The sequence below is a fragment of the Homo sapiens genome, chromosome 10 (assembly GCF_000001405.40).
Source record: "Homo sapiens chromosome 10, GRCh38.p14 Primary Assembly".
Classification (NCBI taxonomy): Eukaryota; Metazoa; Chordata; class Mammalia; order Primates; family Hominidae; genus Homo; species Homo sapiens.
This window is the reverse complement of record NC_000010.11, coordinates 124,726,930-124,750,811: the sequence shown is the minus strand read 5'-3', so window position 1 is coordinate 124,750,811 and position 23,882 is coordinate 124,726,930. Positions and strand designations below refer to the sequence as shown.

General features: G+C 48.2%; 1 protein-coding gene across 1 annotated transcript in view, besides 11 other annotated features; it reads left to right on the top strand.

Annotated features, from left to right (window-relative positions):
* Positions 1,558-1,757: an enhancer, noted in NCBI's record as "active region_4185". NCBI's record gives its function as "activates an Ori minimal core promoter by ATAC-STARR-seq in GM12878 lymphoblastoid cells {active_cell/tissue: GM12878}" and the evidence as "EXISTENCE:reporter gene assay evidence [ECO:0000049][PMID:35858748]".
* Positions 6,196-6,335: a silencer, noted in NCBI's record as "silent region_2918". NCBI's record gives its function as "represses an Ori minimal core promoter by ATAC-STARR-seq in GM12878 lymphoblastoid cells {active_cell/tissue: GM12878}" and the evidence as "EXISTENCE:reporter gene assay evidence [ECO:0000049][PMID:35858748]".
* The window catches only part of FAM53B (family with sequence similarity 53 member B), a 125,087-nt gene continuing 107,638 nt past the window's right edge, over positions 6,434-23,882 (top strand). The window contains exon 1 of the mRNA NM_014661.4: positions 6,434-6,799. The gene's annotated coding sequence lies outside the window, so the exon portion shown is untranslated. The remainder of the gene's footprint in view (positions 6,800-23,882) is intronic.
* Positions 6,466-6,515: a silencer, noted in NCBI's record as "silent region_2917". NCBI's record gives its function as "represses an Ori minimal core promoter by ATAC-STARR-seq in GM12878 lymphoblastoid cells {active_cell/tissue: GM12878}" and the evidence as "EXISTENCE:reporter gene assay evidence [ECO:0000049][PMID:35858748]".
* Positions 6,536-6,645: a silencer, noted in NCBI's record as "silent region_2916". NCBI's record gives its function as "represses an Ori minimal core promoter by ATAC-STARR-seq in GM12878 lymphoblastoid cells {active_cell/tissue: GM12878}" and the evidence as "EXISTENCE:reporter gene assay evidence [ECO:0000049][PMID:35858748]".
* Positions 6,696-6,855: a silencer, noted in NCBI's record as "silent region_2915". NCBI's record gives its function as "represses an Ori minimal core promoter by ATAC-STARR-seq in GM12878 lymphoblastoid cells {active_cell/tissue: GM12878}" and the evidence as "EXISTENCE:reporter gene assay evidence [ECO:0000049][PMID:35858748]".
* Positions 7,176-7,385: a silencer, noted in NCBI's record as "silent region_2914". NCBI's record gives its function as "represses an Ori minimal core promoter by ATAC-STARR-seq in GM12878 lymphoblastoid cells {active_cell/tissue: GM12878}" and the evidence as "EXISTENCE:reporter gene assay evidence [ECO:0000049][PMID:35858748]".
* Positions 7,476-7,555: a silencer, noted in NCBI's record as "silent region_2913". NCBI's record gives its function as "represses an Ori minimal core promoter by ATAC-STARR-seq in GM12878 lymphoblastoid cells {active_cell/tissue: GM12878}" and the evidence as "EXISTENCE:reporter gene assay evidence [ECO:0000049][PMID:35858748]".
* Positions 9,433-9,552: an enhancer, noted in NCBI's record as "active region_4184". NCBI's record gives its function as "activates an Ori minimal core promoter by ATAC-STARR-seq in GM12878 lymphoblastoid cells {active_cell/tissue: GM12878}" and the evidence as "EXISTENCE:reporter gene assay evidence [ECO:0000049][PMID:35858748]".
* Positions 17,260-17,339: an enhancer, noted in NCBI's record as "active region_4183". NCBI's record gives its function as "activates an Ori minimal core promoter by ATAC-STARR-seq in GM12878 lymphoblastoid cells {active_cell/tissue: GM12878}" and the evidence as "EXISTENCE:reporter gene assay evidence [ECO:0000049][PMID:35858748]".
* Positions 17,405-17,947: an enhancer, noted in NCBI's record as "H3K27ac-H3K4me1 hESC enhancer chr10:126421434-126421976 (GRCh37/hg19 assembly coordinates)". NCBI's record gives its function as "activates a minimal SCP1, AML or CMV promoter by ChIP-STARR-seq in naive H9 embryonic stem cells {active_cell/tissue: H9 hESC(naive)}" and the evidence as "EXISTENCE:reporter gene assay evidence [ECO:0000049][PMID:30033119]".
* Positions 22,169-22,308: an enhancer, noted in NCBI's record as "active region_4182". NCBI's record gives its function as "activates an Ori minimal core promoter by ATAC-STARR-seq in GM12878 lymphoblastoid cells {active_cell/tissue: GM12878}" and the evidence as "EXISTENCE:reporter gene assay evidence [ECO:0000049][PMID:35858748]".

Here is a 23,882-nt window from a genome sequence, read left to right as displayed (position 1 = left end):
GCCATGTTACCCAGGCTGGACTCGAACTCCTGGCCTCAAGCAGTCCTCCCGCCTTGGCCTCCCAAAGTGCTGGGATTATAGGTGTGAGCCACCGCATCCGGCCCCAGTAATTATTCACTAAGAAATGTGGGTATGGTGGGGGAAAATGTAAATGTGGGTGCATTTGAATTGAAACCAAATGGACAAGGATATGGTATACCTTCCTTCATTAGGTCTGAGTGCCAAGGCATTATTCCAAGTGATATCAGACAAAGGAACCAAGAGCATATCCCTGTAGGATCATGCATCAGGAAGCTGGTAGAACTGGATTTAATGAAAGTGTTGAATTGGATTTGGGTCTTGGCCATTTAGGAAGCAGTGGCCTGAGATTTTATAATTGATTTTTACTTTGCATCATCCAGATTTGATATCCTTGATCAGTGATTCAGGTTTATTTCCTTTGCTGTAAGTTAACAGTGCCATTCACGGTGACATTTTCGTTTGATGTTGAGTAATACTTTAGTTTATCTGATTTGTCCTTAGTTTATACTAGAATTGACAGTGTAGTGTGTAAAAAGTATGGTGAATCAGTTATTTATGCTACTCTAGAAAACATTTGGTTTGGCCCGGCTCGGTGGCTCACACCTGTAATCGTAGCACTTTGGGAGGCTGAGGCGGGCAGATTACTTGAGCTCAGGAGTTCAAGATCAGCCTTGGCAACATGGTGAAACCCCATCTCTACTAAAATACAAAAAATTAGCCGGGAGTGGCGGCATGCACCTGTAGTCCCAGCTACTCAAGAGGCCAAGGCAGGAGGATTGCTTGAAGCCGGAAGGCGGAGGTTGCAGTGAGCTGAGATCACGCCACTGCACTCCAGCCTGGGTGACAGAGTGAGACTCTGTCTCCAAAAAAAACCAAACAAACAAACAAAAGAAAACATTTGGTTTTTCAGGTTTGTTTATTTCTTTAACCTTTTTATTGGTGGTTATATGACTATCTCAATGTCTAGAATGCTTAGTATGACTATAGACATGTTGGCCAGAGCCATATTGCTTTCTCTAGTTAATCCTAGAGGGCTTTAGTCTTTTAACCATTTTAAGAAAGTTCTACAGAGTTGAGGTCAATATGATATGATGTACCTCTTTAGGACAGAACAGAATCAAAGCTTCAGTTCTTTATGTTAGGTAGTTTAAGAGTACAGTGGTTGACTAACCTGGTTTTGATCAAGGTGTTTTTTTTTGCTTTTTGTCCCTTGTAAAAGTTAAGAGAAGCTGTAACTAGTAATTAAAATAGTAAGCCAGCTTCTCATTCATGTCAATTCTTTCATATTATAGGTACAGTTAAACCTATAGCTGCAGGTTACGCACATACAAAATCGGCAAGGCTAGTCTTCTCTTAGAACAGTCATGGGTATGAATTCAAACAAAAGATCTTTGCTTTTGGTTAATATAATAGATTGACAAACTGCTGAGGAGAGTTAAGAAATTCACAGGCTAGTATGTAGGCTAAATGTTCTTTTCGTACTGCTCCCAGGAATGTTCTGCCTTTTAGAACTAGAGGCTGATTTCTTTTCTTGACATTTTAAATCCAAAGGATTCAGCCTTTAGATTGGGTTTTTAAGCTCTGTGAAATCACCAACTGTATCTAGTTTTAGTTTCCTTTCTACCTAATGAAAATGAAATTTACTCAGTTTCATTTTTAGGGGGAAAGGCAGGAGAGCAGTAGCTTTGAGCATATCACTAGGGATGAATTCAAAATCGATTTTTCTTGAGGCAGTGACTTATGGCAGATAGTTGACAAGAGAAAAATTAAGTTTTGAGCTTATATCTCAAATACTGAATGTGAATTCCACTAAAGAATATTTAAGAAAAAAAGTTGAAATGGTTTCATTTAAAGATGGTAACATAAACATTTAGCCTGGTCTACAGTTGAAATATTTTCTAGATTAAATGCAATTTATAATATAGCAATATGAAAATACTGTAATTTGTTTTTAGATATGTTTTTGGTGGGGTAACTGAAGCAAACTAGGGAACTCACCATGTTATAATGATAATAATTAGCATCTACTTCATGTAAGATCATAAACAGATGCTTTTGAACCTTAGTATTAGGATAATAAAATAGGCTTAATAAGTTTTACTTATGCCATTTACTTTGATTGTAGATAGTGAAAAGCCTTTCTTACACTTTTTTAAAGCTTTTTATTTACCATACATAAACTTTTAAATGTTTGTTATTCATGCTTGTGTTTTCTTGTAGCACATAATACCAGTAGTTACTATTAACTTTGAAAAAAAAATATGAAGTTGAAATAAGTTTTAACTGTTGCTCTGTTCTTTTTAGCTTACTTTACCAGAACTCTTCCCTCCAGTGAGTTGCAAGCGTGACATTTGCTGTGTTTTCAGCACCTGCCAACTTGGAAAGCAGGGTTTGTGTTCAGGACTTAGGCTCACAACCCATACTTTGTGGTGCACAATGCTGGCCCAGCTGGCATGCTTTCGTACCTCAATGGTGCTAGACAGTCAGTTACAAAGCTGTGTGGCTTCACATGCGCTGATCTCAATAGTCACTCCTCTTCAAGCTGCTTTCAACTCTTATTTTGTATCAAAGGAGTGGGATTGGTATTATTAAACTCATTGCTGAGGTTATTTTTCAGTGAAAATAAATTGTTTTATTTAGTTCTTGGATCAAAGAGTAATTTTGTCCTCAGCAACCAAATACCTCTTTAAAAAGGTGTGTGTGTATATATATGTATCATTCATGTATGTATGTATGTATGTATATACACACATGCATGATTCCAGCCAGAGCTATAATTCATTTCTTATTTTCATCAGTGGATAAAAAGAACAGACAGGAAAGAACAGAGGGATTAATGTGTCATGTGATCCCTACATGCTAATGTAGGTAGGGTTACTAGTTGTAGCTGGACAAAGATGTGGGAAAATTTACAGAACTTTTTTTTCTGAGTAAGACGTGAAAATTGCCCCCATGATAGGTTCAGATTTTTTATTTCCATCTGTAACCAGAAACTTCTTATATTTTCCAAAGAAGTATATTTTGCTAACATATTTCCAGTCACCTATCTTTTTGAAAATACTTAAGGTGGACTTGGTGATGTCTGTCTTCTCATAATTTATTATAAGCAATTTTAAAAAGGTTCTGCTTTTAAAAAGATCTTTTCAAATGTAGAAAGAACAGTGTGAAATGTGAATGACTGGCTTTTAATACAAGGGTTGTGACAAAGAGGCAGTGGCTTTTGGAAGCCAAATAAAGGGGTGAATACACGTGCATCTGCATACTGCTGTTGGATCCAGTGTATAACGTTTGGCGTTTGTTTAGTTCACTTGTTAGTCTAAAAAGGATAGTATGTTATTCTCTCAAACCAGTTTATAATTTTTTAGTGGTAAGCTCTTTTTACAACCATACCTACAGATAGATTTGATGGGAAAAACTGAACATTTGCTGGTACTTGTTCAAGCCTCAAAGCTCAGCTCTTTGTTTGAACGTCACATTTATCTGGTTCTAAAGGCATAAAAATAAAACACCCACTAACTACCTAAGACACTCCTTAGTGCATATCAAAACCCAACCTTTACCCTCGTCTGCACAAATGTGCTTAGGTGAATACTTTTATTAGCTTGTTGATACAAGTTATAGTAGGTTACACCCTTAATAAAACACACCCTTATTGTCATCCTGTTGCTTAAGAGCTTTAAACTTGTAATAGGGGAGCTCTCTAATATAGAATGATACTCAATTTCTATCTCCCAGGCAGTTTTGAGTGGAAATGTGTTGCACACCTTACACACAAGTGTGCCTCTATTTGGTAGTCCTCCTTTGGGAGAACTAGGATTGCTGTGTTTTATCCCTGGCTTTCATATATTTTTTGTTTGTTTGTTTGTTTGTTTTTTGAGATGGAGTCTTTTTCTGTCACCCAGGCTGGAGTGCAGTGGTGCGATCTTGGCTCACTGCAACCTCTGCCTCTCAGGTTCAAGCGATTCTCCTGCCTCATACTCCTGAGTAGCTGGGATTACAGGTGTCTGCCACCATGCCTGGCTAATTTTTGTATTTTTAATAGAGATGAGGTTTCACCATGTTGGCCAGGCTAGTCTCAAACTCCTGACCTCAAGTGATCCGCCCGCCTTGACCTCCTAAAGTGCTGGGATTACAGGCGTGAGCCACTGTGCCGGGCCGTCATATATTGGTCTTGATGTAAAAGACTGCAAGTAATCCCTGCATTTTATATTTCCCAGGGTGTTCTCCGGCTTAATCAGGTTAGCGTTGGTTGGTGATAATGGAAAAGTTACAAGTAATAGTTTTTAGATTATTTATGGATTTATTCCTAAATTGGCCTATGAATTTGCATTTAGGTGTCTGGTTGTGTGCAAAATCTGGTTTTGACCATTTTGGATTGAACAAAGATAGACAGTTTAGCTCCATGTCCCCACCCCATTGCAGCTTTTACATAGCTTTAAATCTAGAGTTCTACATTTTTAGCTACTCTTCTGAATTGAGCAGAACTCTAATATAACAACAACCTTTTGGGTAGAATTTTTTCTTAGTAAAGAACTATGGAGCTGAGCACTAAGAAGTGAGGATGTTTTATAATATAGCTGTAGGATTATTATATCATGTGGGAAGAACCTATAGTATGGAAGGTTAAGTGTGACACAGGTCTTAATGTATGCATATCTTTTTAGCCTTTGGAGATACAAATCTAGAAAATGAGAAGTAACTATTTATTGGTTAATAGCATAACTTCTTAAGCAAGTATATTCTAGACAGCCTCAAGAAAGCCTCAGAACCAGAAAAACAGGCTGCTTTAGGTTGGAAAGGAGGTGTTACAGCAGAGGAACTGGCCATGACCACCATCCTTGGAATGTGAAACGCAAATCATCCTGAAAGCAACAAGAATAATGGTTGTAATAATTGTTTCCAGGCCTGGGACCCTGCATCTTGTTTTTTAAGTTGACCTGATGAACTAGTAATTGTAGGAATAAACTGAATGTTTGCCAGCAGGAGTCACTCTAGGCTTCCTAATAAAACGTTAGTAAATTAAACTCTGTCCTTAAAGCTCTGAAAGGCTGAGGTGATTGTGTGATATCAGATGGCTTTAGGGAAACACTGACTCTTTTCGTTAAGCATAGCAGCATTCTTAGATTATTCCTTGGGCCTTCTTTTGTTCACCATCGGTTCTTGGATCTTGTTCCTTTCAAGATTGGTCCTTAATGCATTTTTAAAAAGCAACGTATATGGGTAAGGATATCAATATCTTAGTATGCTGTATTCTGTATGTTAGCTCATTTTGGCTTTCTAGGATGAACTGACTCTATCCCACATCATGTAACTTGAAATGAATAGACTCATATCCTTTCCACTGATTGCTGTCCATTCTAATCATGCAGCAGAACTCAGTGGAGCGAGCTGTAGTGTGAAAGGAGATGTCAGTTCATGCTTTTCTGAAAAGAATGGGTCCGGTGTGATGATATTCTGAAATATTTCAGCAATAGCCATGAAATATAATAGTTTCCCAAGCACACAAAGCTCAAGAAGTTAATTGTTCATTTATGTTTGATACTGGGATTGAAACATTGGATTAAAACCAATTAAATGTTCCTAGAAGCAACAGAAAAAGTTTCCTTATTTATGAATAGAACCATTCAAATGGCGCAGACACAATCCATGTAAAGTAATGAGGTGTTTTGTTTTTTTGGCAAAGGAGAACACAAAACAGGCATAGGGAGTTTTAAAAAAACTTCTCTTTAAAAATCGCTTTTTGGATACAAGGTCAATAAAATAACATACACCAGTAGGAAGGAGTAATGGGAAATCTAGGGCTTCACAAGGAAAACAATCCCCCTCCCCCAGGTGAGCAGCACAATGAAAATACTCTGCTTATTCTATCAGGGTTACATTCCTGAACTTAAGTCAACATCCTAAGTTACAGAACTAAACATGCTCTGCCTCTGCTTAGCAACCACAAATCCTTCCTTCGCCAGTTGCATGTATTTTGGATGTGGCTTCTGAAGTACACAGTCACAGCGCCCCGAGTTAGGAAATTTGCGCTTTATTTTCCCAAAGTGTGACAACACTTTAAGGTCCCCCCTCCCCGACCCCACCCGCCCGCTGTCCTGCACGCCACTGAAGTGATCGTTTCTTTTGAACCTCGGCATCTAACAACCCGGAAGCTGGACGCCTGAAGCCTATGCGGCCCAGCGTTTTCATCCCGGCTCGTGCTGGGGGCGGGGAGAGAAGCCCGTAGGGCCTCTGGCGCGGGGCCCGGGCAGCCGCGGTGGCGCGGCCCAGGCCCGGGGCCACTTCCCGCGTCCCGGGGCCTCGCAGGCGCGAGCGCGGCGAGCGGCGCGCGGCTGAGCCCGCAGGACGCCCTCTAGCCCCGCCGGCGGCGCGCCGCGAGTCCCTCACTCCCCGCCCATCGGCGGCTGCGCGCACTGCACACTCGCCTGCCGCCGCCGCCGCACGCCGCCTGCCTCCTGCACGCCGCCGCCGCGCCTAGCGCCCGGGCCCGCGACACCGCCCGCTAAGCGCCGGGCCGAGTTCACGCAGCCGCGGTCTGGCGGCTCCGCGGCGGCGGCGGGTGCGGGCGGCCTGGCCGGTGCCGGTTAAAGGGACGAGTTGCAAACACTTCAGGAAGTGACAAGTCGATTTCCTCCTCCCCGGGAGTCGCTCGTACAAAGCGCTCGGCGCCGGCAGGCGAGCGTGCGCGCGGCGGACGCGCGGCGGGCACCCCGGACGACTTGGCGAGCGCTGGCGGTGACGGCGCGGGGTCCGCGCCCGGAGCGCCCCGCCGCGCACAGTAAGCGACCCGGGGCCGGGCGGCGGCGGCGGTGGCCGGGGGGCTGGCCCCGAGCGAGGTCCGGGCCGTGTGCGTCCCGGCCGCTGGCTGGAGGGAGCCCGGCTCGCGTGCGCAATGGGCTTGCCTTTTTTTTTTCTTTTTTCCTAATGTTGCTGGTTTCCTTTTTTTCTGCCTTGTTTCGCCTTTGGGTTGGGTCGGGCGGTTTCTCCGGGCGCTCGGTCTCGCCCCTGATGCAGGCGTGAGACTTGTCAGAGCACAGGCATGGGGAAGAACAAGCCTGGCTGCGGCGGAAAAGTCTGCGCTCCCCAGGCCAGGGCGGGCGGGCGCGGGGACTGCTGCGCCCGGGGGTGTCCTCTCCGCGTCTCAACTTGAGCCCTGACTAGCCGCTGCGGAGGAGGCGCGGAGTCTCGGGAGCCGGGCGGCCCCATTCGCCCCGAAGTTCCCGCATCGTTTGCAGACAACTCTTTTGTTCGCGGAAGTTTGCACCCGCCACCCCCGGGGTGCGGGAGCGAGGCGGCGGGCTCCGCTGCTGCTGGACTGTCCGGGGCGGTCAGGATGGGGGTGAGGGGGCATTCTGTCCCGGGCGGGGGAAGCCCGCGGGGAGGCCACCGCTGGGGCTTGCGGAGTGGGGGCGTCCGCGCCGGCGTGGCTTTTGCACATGGCGAGAAGGGCCGTCCGGCACAGGCACACTGGTCGAGTCACATTTTTGCTAGTCTTGGATTTTGCAAGCCCGTGGGAGTCAGGTTCCCCGCTCAGGGTTTCTCTTGGGGCAGAGACGAAAGAAACGAGGACACCCAGAATCCGGGGAGGGTTTGCGGTTTGTGTTGTCCCAAGTGTGTTCTCGCTCCCCCCGCCCCCCCACCTTGTCCCCCAGCCCCCAGCTCTCCACCCCCATTTTCGGACTTGGGGAACAATGCTTGTAGTACGGGCCGGGGCGCCGCAGCAGCGACGAACCGCGCGGACAGGTTTGCCCGGGTCCCTCGCGTTCGGACGCCCCCTGAAGCCGAGCTCCTTCCATCTGACCGCCCGGGCTCATTAACACGTACTGTACTTAGGACGATGGTGAACAAAGAAAAGCTCTTTGCAGCGTTTGATGAATGGGATTCTGCCTCCTATAGGCCACACTCCGAGTCTTCCATACGGTACAATCTCCGGACTCGGTGGTGTTAGGAAAGTGGCCCCCGGAATGGCTTGCATTCCGGGTCTGGGATCCTGGGGTGGGCATTTGTGCCGTCGCCTTCGCCGCCGCGCTCGCCTTGCAGGAGCGGGTGCAGATGGAGCCAGGCTGACGGTTGTTCAACAGGAACAAATGTTTGTTCAATTGTTGGATGGTGGAGAAAAGGGACTGTTTCCTATTGACTGCTGCAGGAGTTGGAATGGCATTGTTTATTGGCCTGGGAAGCCAGGCAAGCGTCTTGTGCTGCTTACAACATATTAGCAGACTTCCAAATGACATGCTAGCATATGTGTTCCCAGCAGTCCCCACCGGCTGGCAGGGAGATTCCTCCTTGCTCCAGATCCTGGACTCGTTTAAAAGATGCCACCTGGTTTGAGGACTTGGGAAGGAATGGAGTCAGCCGACCAGGTGAAACTCACTGTTCCTTATTAGGCCAGGTTTTTGTTTCATTTTAATTTATCTATTTAAGAGTAACTTGTGTCAGTTACAGTTTTGATATTGAATTGCAGGTCTACAGGGTCCCCTCCCCCGCCTCTAGCTGTGGACTACAGAAACAGCTACTTGTCCCAGTTGATAGTCCCATTCAGTGGGAGAAGGTTTGGCTCAGGATTGGTAGCCCTTGACTCTGTGTCTGCACTTGGCTGTCACCCATCATGCGACCTGGGAGTCTGCCGATCCAGCTTCCAGGCGCTTTTTCAGGTTAAAAAGCTAAGGAGAGGCGTGGGGAAGGCCTGTATTTTTTTCTTCCAAACGTTCCTTCAGAGAACGAGGCGATTTAAATTCAAATAATGTTGCCCAACGACTTCCTATTTTCTTCTGAGAAGGTGAGATTCATGTGCAGTCATTTTGATATCAAAGACAAGTTTTTAAATAGAAACTAGCAACCTCACTGCTGCAGAAGTGGACTTGAATGTTCCAGTCTTCTCAGGACAAAGTAGAGAGCATTCCACTGTCTTGGTTCATAATGTTTTAAATCAGTTTCCCTCTTCTCTTTTCAACGTGGGGTATGTTGCACATAGCATTTTGAAAGTACGCAAAGTTCTTTTGGAAAGAGCTTTATGATACCTTATTGTCACCGTGGTGGTTACGCTTAATTGACATTTTATGGGAAGTCCTGGTATTATTTCCTGGGCTCTTTCTGTTTCCATCTTTTAGTCTTTCTCTTTCCCCTTATATATTCTCTCACTGCCCCGCTAGCCTCTCCATCCTCTCTACAGAAGCCTAGTGGGCTTGGGTTCCTTTAAGCGGGTCCAGTGAGCAGGCGCCTGACCCTTGATTGAAGCTCAGGAAGGGCCAGCCTGCTCTCCTCCCCTTTTGGAGGCCAGAGAGGAGAGAGCTGTGTTTAAATATTAGGAGCTGGCAGCAGGGGACGCTGCGGAGCTCTTTTAAAAAGCACACTCTTCTCACCCACCGCTCGATGCCTTGGGCCCTGAAGACTGAGTTCTGGGCCCACCTTCAGATTGTTCAGTTGATGTTTTATTTGGGCAGCGTGACTTTCTGCAGTTAAATTGCGCATTGTATGGAAAACTCTTCTGTTCTTGTCCTTAAATAAAAAGACTGAAATAAGCAAATACTCAGATCGGCACAACCCCCATCATTACCACCACCACGCACACCTCTCTGATGTGTAATAAAAGAAACCTGCAGGCATAATTTGTTATGTAATATGCTGATAATACAAGTTTCGGTTTTCGATGGAAACCAGATGTGGAGGGACTCTCTTTAATTGATCCAGCAAGGGGAAGACTAATAGATGAACTAGTCCTTGCAAACCCCAGTGGTGTTTTGATTTAACTTTAGGGGAGAATCCCGAGCTCAGGGCTTTGGAGAGGTTTTTACCCTCAGCTTCTGCTTTGCTGCAGCTGTCCTTTTTGTCAGACTCTTCCTCTTTTGAAAGAACCGGTTCGTTGCCAACACAAAGCACATGGCCGGAGCTGGCGGGGCTCAGCGAAGCTTAGCTCTGCTGGACTCTCCTCCTCCTTGCCTCGTCCGGCTGCTACCCTCCCCTCCACGCCACAAAACAGGGTCTGGCCAGGGGACTTGGGTGCTGGGAGGAGTGTTGATTGTTCTCCCTCAACTCCTTTCTGAAATGTCAGTCTGATCATCCAGGGAGAGTTTCTGTTTAAACTTGTCCAACGGATACACTTTCCAAAAATCATTGACTCTCTTTCTCTGATTAATTTGTTTGTTTCCTGCCTAAGTTTGAGGGTTTTTTCTGGATGGCTGAGTCACCTTTATTATGGCTCAAGGTTGGGGACGGCACTGTAATAGCTGACCCCATTAACAGCAGTTTCATTGCCTGCCTGGATGTGAACTTTGGAAACAAACCCAGAGGCTTAGATATGCTGATGTACCCTGAGACTTGCTTAGAAAATTTTTGTTGTAGCGCAGTTTACATTAACATGATTAATGACTGCGCCACTGAAAAGTCCATATTCAAAAGCAATTTACCGTTCCCTAGGGTTCTTCTTACAGTGAAGTATTTTTCTTTGCCAAACAACTTTGTTTTAAGGTAACTTCTTTGATGCTTAATCCAAACCTCCTGTGCACAGCGTTTTGGGGCAAGATTTGGGCTTCGTGTATTGCGGGTTGTGGTTTTGGTGGTGCCTGTCTTAACCTCACCGAACTTAGGTCAGGGAGAACTCGGATTCTTATCTAAGAAAGTTCTCTGAGATCCTGAGCAACAGAGTGCTGTGCTGGCTAGGATGGGAGGAAATCTTCCAGAGGAAACTTGGCTTCTGGGTGTCTTGGAGTGATGCGAGGAGGCTGGAGCTGAAGATTTTATTTTCTTTCCCCTCACAGTGATTGGAGATACTTGAGCTTTTCTGAAAAATAGAGACGTCCTTGGGTTTTTCTTGTCGTTTTTTTTGTTTGTTTGTTTTTTTGTTAAATGTGGGTTGATTGAGAGGGGGAAATGCTGATGGGTGGATCTGAAAGCAGCCTTAGGAACCCGAGAAAATAAAAACACGTTTGAAGGACTCTGGAAGATTTTGCATTTCAAAGGGTCTACCTTGTAGAATTTCACATCACGTCAGGGGTTACAGAGGAGTGTGACAGGCACCCCCGCTTTAATGGTTCTCCGTCTCTCCTGCTGTGGGGGCTGCACGGGGAAGCTGGCTTTTGCATGGGGGATGGGGGACAGCTTGGCCAGACCACGCTGGACTATCATGGAGACCACATTGCCTCTTGGGCATCTGTAAGTCTCGGGAAGGACTTTTTTCACGGTGCCAGTCTCAGGAGGGTGAAAGCAAATCATGTTCGTAAACAGCCCATTTGACCTCAGAACGCAGTGGCAGGCTAACTCCTGACTTCTCCACTCACTCTTTTTGTTCTCTTGTTAAACAAAGAAACAGATTCTTCCCCTGCGCTAGTATAATATGATTCCCAAGGATTTAGCTGAAATGGGTGCAGATTGTTCAAAGAATAATGGCAGCACCCACTGGTTGTTGAAGGCCCACCCTGGGCCCTGGGCTTTGTATACACTCTCTAATTCTCAAAGCAAACCTGCAGTTACAGCTGAGGCTCAGAGAGGCCAAGTAACTGGCCCAAGGCCACATAGCCGGAAGGCAGAAAGCCAGGAAGGAGCTCTATTCCTTCAGAGCCTGGTTGCTTTCCATATGCCCTGCTGTGTGTTCATATGATAGAGGCACTGGGTTCTGTTTTATCTCAAAGCAGAAATTTTGTTTAGTCTTGTTAACACCACAGAGAAACCTAGAACTTTTAACTGCCTTTTCCCCTCCTCTCCCCTCTGCTATGGCTGTGTGTTTTTTTGTTTTTTGTTTTTTTTTTTTTGTTTTTTGGAGTGATTGGAATCTGTATGTACTGTAGGACCAAAGGCAGTGAGTGCCATAGTTTGGGAGGCTGAGATGTTTTGCTTCAATCTCAGAAAAGGCAGATTCACAAGAAAACATTTCCAGTGACCTTCTGGGGGAAACAGGAAGTAAACCTGGCAGCCCACTGGAAACACCACCATTTATTCAGATTCCATTTTCCATTCAGAGAGATTCTTAAAAGTGTTTCCAACTTTTTTTTCTTTTTGCATTTGTAATTCAGATGTCTCAAAGTAAATTATGATGTGGTGGTTGCCACTCCAGGTCTGTACAATATCATATTTTGTTTACGTGCCTAAAGTAATCAAGTAACTGAACACAATTGTATATCCTCCAGTGTGACTGAACTTGGTACGCCCCAGCCAGGGCTGGGCAGCGGCCCTGCATTCTGTCTCAGACAGATGGTTCTTTGCAGGTTGCTTCTCGGGGGGGTGTGAGTGTGCGTGTGTTTTGAAGGAAGAATAAGGAGACCCATCTCTAGCAAGGCCTGCCTGGCCAGGCATGCTGTCCTTTCTGCCCCTGAAGAGTTTGTAGGAGCGTGCTGGGGCCCCTGTGCTCTGAACTTCTAGAAGCTAGAGTAAAGTAATGGTTCTGAATATTGGCTGCACATTAGAGTCACCTGGGAAGGTTGGAAAAAAAAAAAAATCCAGATGCCCAGGCTGCATTCAGGCCCAATTACATCACAATCTTGGAGAGGGGGGCAGCAACCCAGCATTGGTATCTTTAAAGTTCCTGAGTCGATTCTCTTGTGCATCCAAGACTGAGGAGTGAGGGCTGTAATAGACCCCATGCATACCTACGGGTCGGTTCCTTAGTTTCCCTATTCCTTAGCAGGAGATTGGGGGCTTTCGTATTCGGGAGCGGAGCAAACCTATTGGCATTTGCTGCTGCTGCTGCTGCTGCTCTGTCTTGGTGAAGTGGCATCTGAAGGGCACCCATCCCTAGGGGAAGTGTCTGCTGTGGGCATCATCGAGGTCATTTCTGTTTCTGCTGGGCCAAGATTCAGCACAGTCCCTTTGAACCACCTTCTTTCCAGATTGAAGGGGGCAGATTTTACTCAGGCTGTGGTTTCAGGGCAGTTCTCATGCAGGCCCTGCCTCCCCACAGTCCTAGTGGTCTTGTTCTTTCTGGGGATTTGGCATACCGTGTGCCCCTGGGGCTCAGGGGAGGAAAGATGCAGTTAGGTTCCAGGGCATATCCTGGCAACTCCCAGTGAGTGGTGAGTCTTTTTCACCCAGGTTTGCAGTGAATGTCACTCTGTCAGCTCAGAGCCTGTCTTCCTGTGAACATACTCAGGATTACATTTCATAGAATTGTGTTTAGAATGGCCAGGGGGCTTGGAGAGTGAGAGCTTCTTGGGCCTGCTGATGTAACCTTCTGGAAGAGAAGTCCGATCCTTAAGAGGTGAGGTGACTCTCCCAGGGTCCCGTAGCCAGTTGTCAAAGGTGCAGACTCTGTCTCCTGAGTCCCTGCCCTACTGCTGTGTTCTCATGACGTGGAACCTTAATTCCTGCTTGCAAGACAGCCTGCTTTAGCGTAGACCAGCAGGTGAACTTGATCATTGCTCACAGAGTTCATTAGCCAAGTGAAACATGCTACCCATCCCCCGTCCCCACCCCCCAGTCCCAATGGAAGGTGCTGAAACCTTGTAAAGGTGAGCTTGCTGAAAAAGGTTTTGGCCTCTTTGCCAAAAGTGTGTCAGTCTGCCCGGCTGTGTTGTGGTGGTGGTGAGTAGTGAATAAGGGCTCTTCCCCCTGTGGGGAGTTGGGTTTGGGCCGAGTGAAGGGAGAAGAGGAGAATTGCTATTTTTCTCAGGGCTGCAATTTCCACATTCATTTAGCAGACATTGATTGGACATCTGCTGGGTGTCCAGTGTGGAGCCGGGCACTTTGCTTCATTAGTTCATTTAATCCTCAGCACAACCTGTGGCTCAGGGACTAGCCCGATTTCATTGCTGAAGACATGCTGCCTGCAGAAATCACTCACCCCAGGTTGGGATTTGAACTTGGCCCAGCTGACCTCAGCCCTGTATTCTTTCTACCACACCCTGCTGCTTTTCCATCCAGTGCTCACCAGGGGAGGAGAGTTCCTGCTGTAAGACACGTGCATTGCCCAGTGGGCGTTCCCTGGCAACTCCTGCCTGGGTGCCATGCTGCAGCTTCTAGGAGGGGGCGTGGGTGGGCCCTCGAGCTCCTGGATAGCTGGGTTTGTACAGGTCCTGTCTGGGGCCGCTGTGTGTCCTGGCAGCTGGACTGTGCCTTGTGCAGGAGAGGCGGCTTATGCAGGTTCCAGTTGCTGCTGCCTGCCCCCACCCCGTGGAGGCCACCCTCCCTCCCAGGCTGCCCTCTGGCTGAAGCCTGAAGCACCCTGACAGACAAAGCCCAGCTGGGAGAGGCCTCGGCCCTGCCTGGAATTCCCCTTGCTCTGGCATTGGCCTTGGCCATGGGCCTGGGAGCAGAGGGAGGTTCTGTCCGCTGGCTGGGAGCAGCTTCTCTGCATGTTTGGAAGTGGAAAGACTAAGTTCTCTGCAGCTGGGTGTCTCCATGATCTGGGTGAGGAGAAGGAGCCTGGCTCCTGAGCCCGGGGGAAAAGAGGTCTGTGGTTTTGAGTCTCCAGAAGGAGTGCAGGATGCGGGGAAGCCCCTCTGTGGCATGATCCTGGGGACCGGGCCGTAGGAACCGCTCTCCCCTGTAATCCCTTTGGCAGTCAAACGATTCAGTTTCCTGGCTGGAAGGTAGTGGGCACAGACTGCCTACTTGCTGGACCTAATTTGCCCTGTAACCCTCACTGGGCCTCTGATTTCTCACCTTGCTGGTCCTGCCACCCAGCGTTTTTAGGAAGATCAGTTTAGAGCTTGTTTGAGAAGCCCCTTGCAATGGGCGTAGTGCCTTGCAGAGCAGTGCCAGGTAGGAGATGAGTGTGACTGGGCAGGCAGGGGTTCTGCTGCAAAGCCCATGGTCGGCTGCATGCCACCTAGGTGCTTCTTGTGGCTGCAGGAAGAATGGGACTGTTTGGCGTCACAGAGGAACTTTGGGCAGAGTCTAGGTGAAACCCAATTCTGTATCATCGAGGGCAAAAGTAGCATTCAGCTTTGGAATCAGAAGCCTGGGTTCAAATCCTAGGTCTGCCCTTTGCCCGCCATGCCATGTGCCTTTGAGCAGGCGACTGTCTCTCTGGCCCCCATTCCTTCTTCTGGAGTATGGCAGTGCTGACAGCACCCCCAGCCAGCCCATAGGTTCGGGGCCCTGAGTGAGACCACACCTGAGGACACTTAGAGCCCACCAGACATTAGTGAGTATCTCACGCAGCCTGTGGCAAGCGCGTGCTGTTGCGAGGACTGAAGGGAGGCTGGAAGGACATGAGTCAGGCAGGTTGCCCTGAGGAGGTCAGTCAGTGATGACAAGATACAGGACAGAGCAGAGGGGACTTCAACTGGAGTTGGGCTTGGCTGGACGGGTCAGGCTGGGGCGGATAGAGCCTTTTCTCCTCCAGCATCTTCCTCTCTCAGATAGCGTAGGGTTTTTTTCGGGAGGAAAAGTTGAAAGTATGCATTACAGTTTAGTTTGCAGTGTGTCTGTTACCAAGAGTTGAGACTGGTGAAATCTAAGTTTTCTCTCTAGGAAACGAAATCTTTTTTTACCAAAAGTGATTTACTTTTGCTCCTAAGCATAGAACGTTAAATGCATGTATGGGTCATGATGTGGCCTCACCGTCTTGGCTCTGCTGCCACCGACACTTCTGTGAATGAATTCTTTGGAAACCAAGGAATTAATGGCTGCATACCTACCTAGACTGAGAGTGAGGGGCCCACTTACCACCTTCTGGATTCTCTTTAGGTGCTTTGCAGTGGGCATCTTTGTTTTTTGTTCTTCCTCTCACGTTGGGGGAGCTGCCTTGGACACCTGGAGTCAGCGTCTTCCGGGTGCGGGTTATGTGGTTGCAGCTGGAGCGCCTGCCCCCAGCTCGGCCTGCGGTGTGATTCCGGCTGCTTCTAGATCCCTTTGCCACCTGAACCTGACCTCAGTCTGCAGGAGCAAGAGCTCATCTAAGCTTGCTGAAGCTTTGAAAGGAGCCCTTGGCTTGGAGGACAGAGGGAAGGGTCCAGGCTGTGCCGCTTGGCTTCTGTTGGTGCAGGCCTCTGACTCCTGACACGCCTATTCCCTGGGTCTGGTGAGCATCGCGCCTCATGAGTCTGGGGCTGGCTGGCATCCTGTGGGGTGAACAGGATGGACAGTCTTGACTCATGAGATTTCCTGCTGCACTTTGGGTAGCTTTGAGGGACACCCCTTTGTATGGAGTGTGAAGACTCATGCTGTTCACTAGGTTCTGGGAGGGGGCCCTGACTCCAGACTGTGACAGCCCCTCCCCTCTGGTGCTGGCCCTAGAGCGTCCTTTCCAGAGGACCCACCAAGGTGGCTGGGCATGGGTGGCCTTGAAGCAGACCTGCTAGGACAATGAGATCCTGAAGCTTTGTGAGCGAGGGCTGCATAAGGGAGGTCTCTGAGGTGTCTCGGCTGCCTCTGGTCTCATGGATGTGACAGAACTCATCTGCCAGGTGGAGCGTGTCATCCTCACCCACTGTGTCCTCCTTGGGTGTGTCACTGTTCCTGTGATGAGCACAAAACATACCTGCCATGGTGGTGGCCCCCAGGCTCAGTGCAGTTCAATCAATGTGGAGTAACAGCTACTATGTGTGTCAGACAAGTCGTCAGGCCCTGAGGAATTCAGAGATGGATCTACCGAATGTCTGATTTTAGGGAGCTCATAGCTCGTATTATGGACAGTCAGACTGCAGGTTTTTATTGAGGTTCTACTATGTGCTAGACACAGTGTAATAAATGAATGAAAGTGTGTTTACACAAGGTACTGGTGAGTTACACCGTCCTCTGGAAGTCATAGAAAGTCTCTCTAACTGAGCTGAAGAGAGGAGGGCAGGGAAGGCTTCCTGGAGGGGGTGACAGCTGACCTGAGTCTTGAAGAATGAGCAGGAGTTTAGACAGATGAAGAACGGGGAGGAGGAGACATTCGAGACCAGGAGAGCAGGTGTCCCCAGTCACAGCACCATGGGACTGTGTCAGGGAATCTGGGAGACCTGGAGCCTGAGTGAGACGAGTGTAGATTTCAGAGGGGAGCGGAGCTGATCTAGGTCAGGATGGCAGTAAAGGGAAGGGCGAAGGGCTGGGAGAAAGCCCACCTTCGGGGTGACACTGCCCAGGGGCCCAGCCTTTTGACCTTGGAGTGACCTTCCTGGAGAAGCATGAGACTAGCCTCTGAGAATTTTCATCAAGTGCCGCCTTGGCCAGAGTGATGTGGTCTTTGTTTATTTTTAGACAAAACTCTCGCATTTAGCAGGCGCCCTTGGGATTCCCAAGAGCTTCCAGAACTTCTTGTCTGTGCTGCGCTGGAACTAAAGAAGTCAAAGTTCTGGCGTTGTGTGAGTTGAAACAGTCTGATTCAGTGTAAAACTACCTTTTTTTTTTCTTTAAAGGGAAAAACAGGCACCTAACCGTGTTGGTGCGATGGAAGAGGGAGCTTCGGTGCCCCCTGGGCTCTGTCATAGCCTGTTCTCACTAGTGTTCTCAAAGGCAGGGGGAAGCTGCTGACACAGACACTCGAGAATGGCGGGCCTGAGTCACCTGACTCTTGGCGGCCAGTGCGCCTGAGGCCTCCACCGCCCTCAGATGCCAGCCCAGATTCCAGGCCCCGTTGACTGTGTGGCATGTGACCTGGGCCCAGAAGAGGAGAATTAAGAAAAATACTGAACCTGTGCAGAGGTGGAGGCGGAACTGCAGTTAGCAGCCCATCTTAGCTTTGGGGGGTGTGTTTTCCAAGGCTGGTAGGGTTTTGCTCATCTGCATTTACTCCTAAGGGAAGAAGAAAGTGAGTAAGTTAGCCACAGATGGTTTTGATTTTAACAGTAAACCTCTCTGTTCATCTCATTCCCGGGGAGGTTAGCACATGCCTTCACCTGTTAGAAAAGAAAGTAAAAGAGGATCTGGCCTGGCTGCGTCCGCATAGGCCAAAAGTTGAGCAGCAAACTGGAGTGAAAGAGCGTTATGACCAGAAGTAGGAGCAGAGAGGAGATCAGACACCTTGGGCTCAGGAGAGTACGTGATAGTCCACAGGTAAATGAGTTCTAACTTGCTTTGGGGAAAAAAAGATTTTTTTTTTTTTTTGTGATGGAGTCTCACTCTGTCACCCAGGCTGGAGTGCAGCAGTGGCGTGATCTCTGCTCAGTGCAACCTCAGCCTCCCAAGTAGCTGGGACTATGGGCGTGTGCCACTATGCCCAGCTAATTTTTGTATTTTTAGTAGAGACGGGGTTTCACCATGTTGGCCAGACTGGTCTTGAACTCCGGACCTCAGGTGATGCCCCCGCCTGGGCCTCCCAAAGTGCTGGGATTACAGGTGTGAGCCACTGCCCCTGGCCAAAAAACAATTTTTAAAAGCATGTGTGAGGTTCAGGTGAGTCCTTATATGTTACACATGATTTCAGGAAGTCATTGTTCTGAGACATGGCGTGGTGGCGTGCTCCTCTGCCATGGAGGAGCGTGGCCAGGGTGGTGTCCGTCTGCTCACCTGAGGAGCTCCCTGGGTCTGCCAGCTTCCTGCCTGGCCAAGCCCTTCCCCTGCACTTGTAAGACGACGACTGAGCGTGGCTGATCCTGCCCGGTTTCTGGGTGGATAGTGGAACCTGGGGGAACCAGGGTAGAATCCCTTATGGGAGGCAGCCATTGGCCTGGCCAGGCTTTGGGCGCTGTTGGAGACAGGGCTGAATTTTTAGCCCTGAGTGTAGGCACAGGCGAGAGCTGGAGCCCAGGCACTTGTTCCCTGTGTGGCTGGCTGCTCATCTCTGATTTAGCTTTGGCTCAATTTTTGTCCTACCCCCTGATTGCTACTGGAGCCAGCATGGTGGTCACAGCCACTGGTGTCTTAGGGCCCTGGAAGAGAAGACAGCAATCCCAGGTTGCCCTCTCCTCTGCTCAGGGCTGATCCTGGCAGACATGGAGGAGGAGATAGGCAGGAGGAGATAGGGAGAAGACTTGGGAGGGAGCTGGGTCTTCATGCCAAATGCAGGAAGAAACAAGCCATCGTTCAGTTCATGTTTGAGCTGCGTCAGCCCATGTGAAGGCCCCCACACCTCTGGGAAGAACTGCAGGGAGCATCTCTCTGGTCCCCGTCTCCAAGGTCGGGGAAGCATTTTACAGTTTTGGAGGTGATGCGGGGAAGGGCCACAGCCAAAACTTCATGTGGCAGTCTAGCATGCCACACCTCACTGGAATCCCGCACGCTAGAAGGGAGCCGCCTTGTGAGAGGTGTTCCAGTGAAGTGGAACCCCACCAGTAGGTGGTGGGATGGGCTCCAGAACAGTGTCTGGAACAGGAACTAGTAGAGCTCAACGTCTTAGATTCCTTAAAAAAAAAAAAAAGGTTGATTTTGTGTGTCTTAATAATTTCCTTTATAAATGGAGCCTCTTATAGTACAAGGCAGTACAGATGAGCCCAGACAGTTGGGCAGAATGTTGGGTAGGGCTGATGTCAGTTAGAAAAGCCTGAGAGAAGAAAGAGTAGGGCACAGAACCAGTGAAAAGGATCCCTGGGTTCTAGTGCTGCCACTTGATGGCTTTTGACTTCGGTTCAGCCACTTCACTTCTCTGAGCTGTGATTTTCTCATCTGTGGACTGGGAATAATAGTGCCTACTTAACAGAGCAGGAGGAATAAACAGGATAGTGCGAGTCCAAGCACCCAGTTCTTTCCCGTTTTCATTCACCCAACAAGTACTTTTTGAATGCCACTGTGCGTTAGGCTTCGCCGTTAATTCATATAACCACCCTGAGAAGTGAGTGCTGTTATTATTCCCTTTTTATAGATGAAGAATATAGGGTTCTGTGAGGTAAAGTGCCCAAGGTCATTTAGCTCATGGGCAGTAGTTCTGGCGTTTGAACTCCCAACTTTAGGATTGGCAAACTATAGCCTGGTGACTAAATCTGGCCCACTGCCTACATTTGTAAATAAAGTTTTATTGGGACACAGCCACATCCGTTTGTGTAGGTAATGTCTGTGGCTACCTTCACACCACAGCAGCAGAATTTATAGACCACAGGGTCTACAAAGCCTAAAATATTTATTGCCTGGCCCTTTACAGAAAAAAAAATGTGCTGACCTCTTCTCCACATGAATACTCTGCACTCCGGACCTGGGCTGTTCAGTATGTTAGCTGTAGCCTCATGTGGCAATTTAAATTAAATCTAAATGAAACGAAGACTTCAGTTCTTTGGTTGCACTAGCCACGTGTCACATGCTTAATAGCTGCATGCGGTGGTCACCTCTCACGTTGGACAGCACAGACCCAGAACGTTGCTGTCATTGCAGAGTGTTCCATCAGGTAGGAGCACACGAGACTGTGTCCCAGTGTGGGGAGAATCCAAATCTGGGAGAACCAAAAGTGCAGAGGAGGTATTCTGCTGAAAGAAAAGACACTGGACCTTCCTGCTCCCAAAACACAGAATTGAAAATTAGTTTGTTGACTCTGAAGTGATGGAGAAATGTCTGCTGTGGCAGAGGGAACCTGGGCCTGGAGTGAAGAGGCTGTCCCTAAATCCTATGACCATTGGCAGGCCCCCACCATGCCCCTCTGCAGCCTGTAACCTCAGCTCCTGGTTCACTGGGGCCGTTGGCCTCATCAACTCTGCCATGTCCAGTGCCCCATGTGTGTTTGCATGCTGGGTCCTGCAGAAATCCCATTTTTATGTATTCATACCTGTTCTGTTCTGGGCCATTTGGGCCTGATGGGTTATACCATTGTTCCTACCATGCTGGAATGGGAAATACATGGTCTGATGAAATGACCATGTTTTCCATGGGCATCAGATAAAGAACTACTTCATTCATTCAAAATGATGGCTACTGTGTGGCATGAGGAAGGAAGGTGAGTTCCAGGTACCTCAGCTAGCTAGTATCACGTGACTTACTCCTTAAAATGCTGTCCACTGCCAACACTGATGCCGTGTGTTGAGTAGCTTGGAATTGGGCTGAACTGTAGCTCTTGTCTTGCTTGGTCCATAAATGCTCTGAATAGGAATCTCTTTGGAAGCTAACTAGGGGCAGAGTCATTCTGAGGGGTGAAGGCAAATATGGAGGGCGTAGATCTCCAGTTCATCAGACCCAGGCATAAATGCATCAGTGCTGGACCCATCTCCCCCACATTTGTGCATGCTGATAGACTCTGAGTGTGGAGAAGAGCTGTGTGGCTGGTTGTAGTCCACGCTGTCTACATTGGAGTCTCTGAAATGCATTGTACAGTCAGGAGTCCAGTCCATTGCTCCTGTTAGGAATGGCTGGCTTTTCCATGTTTGGTTTACATGGTTACAGTCTGCACAAATCTTCACACCTTAAACAATGCCCACTCCCTCTGTAATCAGGATGGAAACCTTTATAAAATGCAAGAATGACATACCAGGAGGACTTTTCAGGACCTTGGGCAAGAGTGAAAAAAGAAGAAAACCAGATAAGTAAGCCTGATGAACTTAGCTCTAGAATAGTTGCATGAAGGAAGTGCCTGGTAAGGAGGAAGTTGTGTTTAAGAGGTCGTACGTGGAAAATTTTTTCCCCACATGCTTTAAAAGGGAAAAGAATAGCCTTGAAAGGCCAGCCTTGATTACGTGTCCCCCTCCCATCCCACTGCCACCTTTGACACTGTGCTTGCCTCTAGCCAGCCACTCCTGGAATGGTGTCCTGTGTCTTCCTTCTTCAGCCAGTGGAGGGGTGAGATCATTCGAGATTAGGCTCTGCCCTAAGTTTCTCACTGCTGTCCCAGCCCTCAGGGAGACTAATTGCATGTGCCCAAAAGAACCCGGGCACAAATACCTTTATAATGGAAATTATCTGTTTTTAGAGTGCTGGCGTTTTCTGAGCACCTACTGTGTGCCAAGCACTCTGCATATGTTCTCTCATCGTCTGCTCATTGCACAGCCAGCTGGGGGTGACTAGCCCCGCTGGGCAGGAGCTGAGCTTCAGCCATGTCCCTGAGAGAGTGTGGCTTGTGATGGGCTAGAGCCTGGCTTGAAAATCCAGGTCCCTCTGCTCCAAAGCCAGTTTCTCCTCACCACCTAGTTTTGTCCCCAATTGTGCACATGTTGCTGTTTCAAAGAGAAATCTCTTGCTCCTCTGCATGGGTTCCCTGATGACATTTTTATCACTGCCTGTGGGCAGAGAAGTAGGTTGCTCACTGTGGGGTGACATTTAAGAAAACCAACTCCATCAAGCTTTCCCTTTGAATGTGTTGTTATGGTACAAGAAGTCTTCGTTTGTCCTGGGCTATTTTGAAATAAAAGGCAGGAAACTCCCCTCTTGTTTCTATATCTTGCATAGAAGTCATCAAAACAGAATCCTCTGTTCTGTGCGGTAGTCGTGATTGAGGAAGCAGCTGTTCTCTTCATGATGACCCAACCAAAGCCAGCAGTCTGGAGGCGTCAGGGATCCAGAATTGTCTCTTCCATCTGCTGGGTTTACTTGCGTGTGTTAGAAGTATTTGGCATGGAAACTCTTTCCCTACCCCACCTCGTGGGCGAGGCCAGAAGGGAGCTCTCCTGGTGGGGGCAGGGCAGACCCCAGGCTCTGCTGTACTTCAGATAATGCCACGGTTTCCTCCATAGAATGGGTGCCACAGCCTCCCATGGGGCCAGGCTGAGTGAACGAACCAGATCAACTGTCTCTCCAAGTCCATGGGTGGGAAGGCAGGCCTCTCCTGTCTGTGATTGGGAGTTGTATGGGTCTGCTTTGTTGTGCATGGAATTTCACACAGTCTGAGCTGTCTAGGCATTTTCAGGCCTCCAGCTAACTCACCGAGTGAGCCAGGGAGTGGTGCCGATGAGAATGTGTGACTGGATCGCGAAGCCAAGCGAGTCCATGGAGATCTTCAAACCAAGATGAAACTTAGTCGTTTGAGTGTTTTCAGGGGTCTGAATCGTCAGCATCATTTAGACTGGAGTTTGCACTCTGGTGGTCTGGGTCTGGGGGCCAGATGTGGTCCTCAGACATGATTTGTTTGTCTCATATGATGCTTTACAAGTTTTTAAATTTCTTGGGAACATAAAAAGGAGATTGTGCAAAGAAGTCCTGACTTTCAGTTTCTCTTAACAAGTCAGGAGGTAAATTTTAATAGTAGCCTGGATCTTCTTTCCCAAACAGCCCACCACAGTTAGCTGTAGCCAGAGCCGTCCACGGTGGGCCAGGCATGTTCTCTGCACATCATCTCGGTTCCTATGCAGCATGCTTCTCTCATTTGTGTTTCCTGCTTGGCCCTGGAAGGCATTTGAGTTTGAGATCCCTGGAGTGGATAAGACATTGGGAAGGCAGATTCAGATTTTCTGGCTCTCCAGGTTATTGGCACAGGGAGAACGATGGTGAATGGCAGTGACTAGTAGAAATGCCCAGGATGTTTGCAGTGCTCAAGGTCATTGCCATCATAATCCTGCTACCTCGTGTTCCACCTGCTAGTAAACTTGCAAAGATAAGCCAGTACTCCGGGCACTAATAAAAACTCTGAAAGTACAAATATGTCCCTTAAATCTTGGAAGCTAGTCTCAGGCCAGGGGCCCTTCTACCCTGTGAATGGCCCTGTGATACTGGGTGACCTGGGGATTCATTTTGTACCCCCGCACCCCCCCCCCCCCCACAATCACTCAGGTGCTTCACCTAGTGTAATCTTCTTATCTACAAGTGCCTTCCTGAGGCTGAGGCAGGCAGATCGCTTGAGCCCAGGAGTTTGAGACCAGCCTAGTCAACGTAGAGAAAACCCATCTCTACTAAAAATACAAAAATTAGCCGGGTGTTATGGCATGCACCTGTGGTCCCAGCAACTGGGAGGCTGAGACGGGAGGATCGCTTGAGCCTGGGAGGCGGACGTTGCAGTGAGCCAAGATCGTGCCACTGCACTCCAGCCTGGGTGACAGAGTGAGACCCTGTCTCCAAATATAAATAAGTAACTAAATAAATAAAAAGTGCCTTCTGGATTTTAATAGATATTGCAAGGGAATTTTTACAAATAAAGATGTAATTTTTAAATTCTCATGACA